Source organism: Homo sapiens, chromosome 1, assembly GCF_000001405.40.
Source record: "Homo sapiens chromosome 1, GRCh38.p14 Primary Assembly".
Classification (NCBI taxonomy): domain Eukaryota; kingdom Metazoa; phylum Chordata; class Mammalia; order Primates; family Hominidae; genus Homo; species Homo sapiens.
This window is the reverse complement of record NC_000001.11, coordinates 60094254-60102655: the sequence shown is the minus strand read 5'-3', so window position 1 is coordinate 60102655 and position 8402 is coordinate 60094254. Positions and strand designations below refer to the sequence as shown.

The window sequence follows — 8402 nt, the reverse complement described above, 5'->3', positions numbered from 1 at the left end:
TGGGGCTGCTAATCCATCACTCTAAGGGTACTCCTCAAAGAAACAGATTCTTGCTAAAACCATTCAGCTGAAGCTGAGATGGAAAATTTTAAGTAGAGTGGAACTCAGAATTATGAATGGCAATGGGGAGTGGACACAAATCATATTTGCTAATGGAAGTGAAAAATCTAATAGGTCCCTTGTGGTTTCAGCTTCATAGCAACACCTTATAATGCCTAGGACTTAGGTGGCTTTTGTCCATTACTTATTGAGGAATGGCCATGCATACATATAAATTAAGGTCTTAGGCAATCCTAAATCTATAGGTAAGTAACATTCTCCACACAACATTCTTACCCTGATTAACTATTTGTAATGCATCTGTTGAGGTCTGACAAAGCCAGAAAAAAACTGTGTTGTCTACTTCAATTTGTATATGTGAACATCTTGTAGGAATAGTTATAAAAAATACAACATACATCCCAGTCAGAAGACTGTAGGGCATAATTAAGAGCCCCAAATTTGGAATTAGAAAATATTTGTTTGAATACAGATTTTGCCACTATATACTTAACCTTGTGATGGGTTTTTAAACTCTCTTACTCATGGAATCCTCCTAATTAAAACTAGATAGATGGCAATATGTCTTACATAGGATGGCTGTATGTGAAAAACAGCTATTTCACTTTGTGACAGATACCTATTATTCCCTCTTTCTTAGTTCATCAAGCCCCAATTTTGCCTAGGTATTCATATTCATATGTGCCCTAGCTATGTGTTCAGAGAAATGAATCCTCCCCAAGCCTAAGTGGAAAATCATGATCGGTCTAAGCCAAACATGGTCATTCCACTTCCTCTGACAGAATCTGGTCTAGGCATTGGTATGTGACAAACTTCTGGACAAAGAGGCATATGAAAGCAAGGCTTTGGGGGAAGGAAGTATCTAACAAATGGATTATTCACTCTCACATAGAGCCCCCTGAAGATAAACTTCACTTTCCTTCCTCAGGATATAGTCAGCCACATGGGACACCTGAAACTACAGCAGCCAAGTAAGAGTCATGAAAATAAAGCCAAGATAACTTCAGAGAAGTCAGCGTAGATCAGTTGCTCAATGACAGGCTGAGTCTATGAGTTAATAGCCCAAGAACCACCCTATCTCTCTATGATAAACTTACTGTGTTTAAGCTACTTTTTTTTTTACTTGCAACAAAGAAATCCTATCTGATATGATGTAAAAATCAAATAAATAATGTCCTGGGAGGCTACACTATAGATATGGGATGAACCAGAGGCAAATGGTAGCTTTCTGAAGTCACGACCTAGCTTCTAGTCATCCCCCAGTCCTAGACTGTATTAAAGTGATCTGTCCTCTATTTACAGTCTTGGGGATATGGGGAACTCACTCTGGAGGAAAATGACATCACTCAGAGATTCTATAAATTCCCATACACAGTGTCTGGCATTCAATTAAACATGCCAGACAAATCAACAGGCAAGACTCAGAGAAAAATAAAAATAATAGAAAAGAACCAGAGATGACCTAGTTTGGGGAGTTATCAGACATAAACTTGAAAATAACTGTGAGTAATATGTTTCAGACAAATAGATGACAAGATAGAGAATGCAATCAGAGAACAGGGACCTATAAAAAAAATTAAATTCTATGGCTAAGAAATATAATAATATAAATTAAGAATTCAATATGGACTCAACAGTTAACCAGGAATTAGGTCAACAGAAACTAATTCAAGCCAAAGAAAGAAGAGCAAAGTAGCTGGAAAATTCAGAAAATATGAGAGATATATGAGAGATAATTAAAAGGTCTAATTCATATTGTAATATAAATTATATATAGTTCTCTCTATATATGTATATATAATTAGAGTCATATAAAGGGAGCAGAGAGAGAGAGTCAAAGGCAATATTTGAAAGTTACAGCTGAAAATTGCCAAAAATTTATAAAAGACATTAAGCCTCAGATTAAACCAGTATTTATACAAAGAAAACCACACCTAGGCATATCATAGCAAAACTACTAAAATCTGAAACCAAAAACATTTTGAAATCAGCAAGAAGAAAAAACACGTTTACTTTCAAAGAATCAGTAAGTCTGATGGCTGGTTTTTCAGAAACTGTAGAAGCTTTAGGACTATAGAGATGTTATTGTTAAGGTACTGAAGGGAAATAGCTATCAATCCCCAAATGTAAAATCAGTAAAAAAATCCACTTAAGATGAAAGCTATCCTTGGTACCCACAGAAATAACTATTTATTTCCTACCAAAAAATATGTACAAGAATAGTTATCACAAGTTTCTTTTTAATAGCCAAAATTGAAAACCAACCAGTGTCTATCAATAACAGAATAAATAAGTAAATTGTTTTATATTTGTATGGTGAGATACCTCACTGCAAGAAAGAAAAATAAACTACCACTATTTATAAAATATAGATGGATATCACAGTCCTAGCCAGAAACAAAAGTACGTATTACATGACTCCACTTATATGAAGTTCAAGAACAGACAAAACTAACTTATGGTAGGAGAATACAGAATAGTAGCTACTTCTGTGGGAAGTATGAGGGGGCTTACTGGAGTGCTATGTATGTTTGAAACCTTGACTTCAGTAACACACGTGTAAAAATTCAAGTTGAACACTTAAAATTTGTGCTCCTGAATGTAACTTAATCCTCAATATTACTTACATAAAGAAGAAAAAAGCAAAGCAAAAATACAAGCAAAGAAACAAACCCTTAGAAAATTTTTTGTCAGTAAAACCCCTGTAAGAAATGCTAAAAGTAGTTCTTCAGACAGCAGGAAAATCATCTCGAACAATGAAATGAAAATGTAGGAAAGAATTAAGGGTGATGAAAAAAGTTATATAAGTAGATAAACCTAAATAAATATTATCTTTACAAGACAGTAATAATGTTATGTGAAATCTAAAATGTATATGTTATATTGCTTCACACCAAAAACATCAGAAAGACAGCAAACATGATATAAATGTTCTAAATCTTAGCAATGTCCAGAAACTAGTAAAATACTAATTTATATTAGACCATAATTAGTTAAGAATTTTTGTTGTAATTTCTAGGATATCCACTAAAAGCCTGATAAAATAATGAATAACTAATCAGTTAATTGAGTCAAAATAGTAAAATAATAAACATGATAGAGAAAGTGGAACAAACAAATATACTAGTAAATGCATTAAATATAATTGGACTAAACATTTCAATTAAAAACAAAGATTGTTAAATTCGATGAAACAAAATGTAACAACGTGCTCCTTGTAAGAAACACTCTTTAAATGTAAAGACATAGACAGATGATGAGTAAAAGGATGGCTTCTTATGCTGGAATTCCAGAGACGCAGACTCTGACACAAGAATTTGAGTGCAAATATTATAGTTAAATATTAGGTTATGCCAGGATCATATGCAGGGGACTGGAAAAATCAGACAGAGAAAGGAAGGAATACAGGATGCACTAATGAACAGTTTAATTCTTCAGGCTACTGTAATTGAATTCTGCGATAGACAACTGAGAGGTGATATAAAATGTATAACACAGTTATCTCAGCTGAGACATTAGGAAGCTGGGGTATTTATCTCGAAACTTCCATACCTCAGTGGTGGAAGACTGCACCTGGAGAACTACTAACTTCCCCACACTTCCTGCCTGCTCCACAAGTCAATTAAAAGAAAACTGTACAAGGTGCCTTCATAAGCACTCAGTAGAATGCTTTGGCACTCTAGAAGAGTAAGTGCTAAGTAGCTACTGCCACAATTTTTAAAAATATATGATGCAAACATTAAAAAAAAATTTATGTAGTCATGCCAAAGTCAGACAATGTAGGCTTTAAGGCAAACACATTGATAAAAATTTAAAAGTCTATTTCATGAAATAAGGAAATAATTTGCGCTTACTAAAATGAACTCAACTGCATAGCTTCACAATGTATGAAATATAAATTGACACAAGTAAAAGGAGAAATAAATCTACAATCATAGAAATATTAACAGAACTCTCTTAATAATTGACGTATTGCCTGACAAAAATATCAGTAAGAAAAGATTAAGATTTGAATAACACAAATAACACATTGGAACTAATTGACAAATTAGTTCACTGCAAGTGAAAGCAATGACAGAATACACCTTCTTTTTAAGTGTACATAGAACATTTATCAAACTTGGCAATATGTTAGACCATAAACACATCTCAACAACTTCCAAACAATTAGAGTCATACAGAATATCTCCTCTGATGTCACTGTTTTATACCTAGAAATCAATAACAAAAAGACTAAATAGAAAACCCCTAAAACTAGAAATGATGCAAAATATTTCTAAATGGCCATTGTGTCAAAGAATAAGTCACAAATGAAATTAGAAAATATTTTGTATTGAATTATAATAAAACATAATATACAAAATTTGCAGGATGCTGCTAAATTAGGCTTAGATGAAAATGTGTATCCTTCCCATTCAGAAAAAAAAAAAAAAGGGCAGCTTGCTGCCAGTGCTCATTTCTTTTTATGTAAATATGCTCTTTGAGAGTGAAGGAAGTCTGACTGATTTTCAATGTGAAAATAAAATATAAAAACTGTTCTTAGAATTATTTCTAAACAGAACTGTTCACTAATCCTCATGTAACAGAAATGTATATGATGATCACTATTTAATAACTTTTTTTTCATGTGGTAAATTTCAAAGCACACAACACCACAAAGCAGAACATCACATTCTGCACAAAAGGTGATCTGGCATTCTCGTCGTTGTGCCAGCAGCAAACTTTGCAGCCACCAGCTGCATTCGGTTTCTCTGATGTTGGTGGCATGCTGTTGGGGAAATGTCTTCCAGACAGGCGAAGAGATGTGACACCAGCAGAACACAGAGGACCTCAGAGACGTTGTTGCCTTGGCTTGTGATGCTTTTCCAGCATTCTTTCCATCAAGGTCATTCTGAAGTTTGCATGGCTCATCGTGTGTTCAGGATTGTCCTTCTTGATGTAGGAGTTCAGCACTGCAATGTTTAGAAGGTGGTGAAAGAATTTCTTATATCAAACCTTGTGCCTTTTGTGCTCCATTGGATAAGAAGTGAGCATCTGATCAGCCAAGTCCACTGCTCCCATATTCTCGTTATAATCCACAGTGACATATGGCTTCTTAGTTTTCTTTCCATTTCTGTTGTCTACTTCAATCACAGTATATTGTGGAATGTTGACAACATTGTCACCTCCTTCTTGTCACACCATTTTATCTCAGGGTAAATGCTGCAACCGCAAGTGCCACTAGTGAGTATTCTTGGGGCAAATGGAAAATGGGTTAAATGCACATATTAGAAAAGAAATTTTAAAAGGCCGAAACTCAGTGATATAAGTAATTAATTCAAGAAGTAAAAGGAAGGAGATTTAAAAAAAAGAGCAGAAAATAACGAAATGAAAAAATACAATAGAGAAAATAAAGCAAAAATGATTAGATTAAAAATGAATAAACATCTAGCAAGACTGATCAAAGAGAGAGAGAAAGAGGATAACTAGTTATAAAAAAGAGTATATTACAACATACATTTTTTACCCTTTTTTAAAAAGCATACTTTTTGAAAAGATAGATAATGAGAGGATATTATGAATAACTTTATGGCAATAAATGTTAAAGTTTAAATAAAATTGCCAAATTTATTTTCTAAAAACTCCTACACTCTTTTGACAAAAGAATAAGTAGAAAATAATCTATATTTATTAAAAAAAAGTTAAATCTCTAATTTAAAGCATTCCATTAATCTCTAGGCTCAGATAGCTTCACTGGTTAGTTCTTCCACATATTTAAGAATTAAATATTATCAATCTTCTACAAATTTTTCTAGACACAGAAAAGGTGAGTTAACTTTATAAGGCCAGAATAACCCTGATACAACAACTTGGCAAAGGTATTATTGTCAGAGCAATCTCTCTCAAGATCATATAAAAATCATAAATAAAATATTAACAAGCCCAATCCAATGTTATGCAAAAATGATAATACAACAAAGCCAAGTAGGGTTTTTTTTAGTTCAATCAATTTAAGTCAGCACATTAATGAAATAAAAAATAAAATCATATGGTAATCTCAACAGAGGAAAGCATTTGATAAAATTCAACATTCTATTCTAAAAACTCCTAGCAAACTTGGAATAGGGTGAACTTTCTTAATGGGACAAATAATATTTTTTAAATACTTATATCAAATATCATACTTAAGAGTGAAATACTGAAAACTTTCTCCCTAAAATTGTGAATGAAACAAGGATACCTGATATTACCATTTGTATTTAATATTGTACTTGTTGACTTGGCTGGTACAATAATGCAAGAAAAAAATTAGAAGTAAGAATTGCTATAGAGGAAATTAAAATGCCCTTACATGTATCGTGATTGTATGCAATAGGCAATCTAAAAGAATATACAAATAGAACTAGCAAGTGAAACAAGTGAGATTGATATTAATTAATTACATAATAGTTTTCATGTAACAGTAGTAAATGGAAAGTAAAATTTTAGAAAATACTATCATTTACAATAACATCAAAGACACAAAATACCTAGGAAAAAAATTAATGAAAGAGGCAAGACTTTCACAGTCACAACTGTGAAATGTTACTGAGACAAATTAAAGAAAATCAAAATAAATGGAGGGATATACCATGTTCATGGATTTAACAACTCATACTATAAAAATGTTAATTTCCCTCAAAATTGATCTATTGATTTCATGCTATCTCACTCAACATCCCCAGCAAAAATTATTAATTTGTTTTGTGAAAAAAAGACCATCTGATTCTAAAATTTGTGTTGAAATGCAAAAGGTTAAGAATAGCAAAGACAATTGTGAAAAAAGACAATACTGGGAGATTTACCCATGAGTTTTCAAAACTTGTGTATGTCTACATTAATTAAGACATTGAAGTATTGGTGTGTTGATAGATACATAATTAGAACAGAAGAGCGAGTTCAAAAATATAATATATGGTCAATTGATTTTGACAGTTATTTCTCTGAAGTGTAGTTTAAAAATAATGATCTTTGCAATAAATGCTACTGACTCAATTGGAAATTATTATTGAAAAATGTAAATCTCAATTGTTTCTGAACAAGAAGCAACAAAAACTAATTATCAGTGAAATACAGATCTAAATATGAAAATGTAGAACATTAAAGCTTCTAGAAGAAAACAAAAGAATATACTTTTATGATCTTAGGGTAAGAAACACAGATTTATTAAACAATACAAAATCAATAACAGAAATTATAAATTATATAAAAATTAGTAACTCTTATATACCAAAAGAGTATTTAAAGAGTGGAAAGTCAAATCAGGGGGCTATGGGTAAGGAAAAAATAAAATAAATAATTAATTTAAAAAAGAAAAAGTCAAGTTACAGAGTAGGAGAATATATTTGACATATATATAGCAAAGAATCCATATCCAGATTAAAAAATAATAATAATAAACTACAAATCAAGAAGAAAGAGGCACAATCAAAATAGGCATTTCACAAAAGATGTCCAAATAGCCAATAAGCATATGAAAAGGTACTCAACTTCATTAAACATTTAAAAATGCAAATTAAAATAACAAAAACAGTACATTACACATCCAATAGACTAGGTATAAAATTTCTGACCTTACCAAACTTTGTTGAGTATGTGGAGCTACCTTCTACCTGCTGGGGAGAGAGTAAGTTATTTGAACTACTCTGAAAAACCCATAGGCAGTATCTAACAAAGCCAACAAAACAGGTACTCTATGACCCAGCAATTCAGCTCCTAAGCATACAGCCAACAGAAATGTGTTTCTGTTTTATCTGTATATCGAAAAACAAACACAATAATTTATAGATCCCAAAAAAACTGGAAATAACCCAAATGCTTTTTAACAGGAGAATGGATAAAAAATTGAATACAGCAACAATAAAGAACAAACTATACCACATGCAACAACCCGAGTAATCTTACAAACATAACTGAGTAAAATAAACCTTACCTAAAAGTATACAATAGGCAATTCCACTTATTCAATTTCAAAAACAGGCAAAACCAATTCAAGCTGTTGGAACTCAGAAGAGCAGTGACCTTTGACTAGGATGCAGCACAAGGAGTATACAGGAAATGCTCTTCGTTCTTGGTCCTGCTGCTAGTTACATAGGTGCATTGTACTTTTTGAAAATTATTCTTCACTTGTGATGTGTACATGTTTCTGTGTATATATTATATGTAATAACATGTATTAAAATAAAACAAAATAAGTGTATACTAATATGTTTGGCAAAATGAAAACTATGTAGAAACAAAATGAATATATGTGACAGTACTGTAAACAAGTTTTGATTGCTCAAGTGTAGGGATGTGATTGATTCTCAAAATATGTTTGGTAA

At 32.0% G+C, this 8402-nt stretch overlaps 1 pseudogene; it reads right to left on the bottom strand.

Moving 5' to 3' along the window:
* PGBD4P8 (piggyBac transposable element derived 4 pseudogene 8) lies at positions 4461–5246 on the bottom strand (annotated as a pseudogene).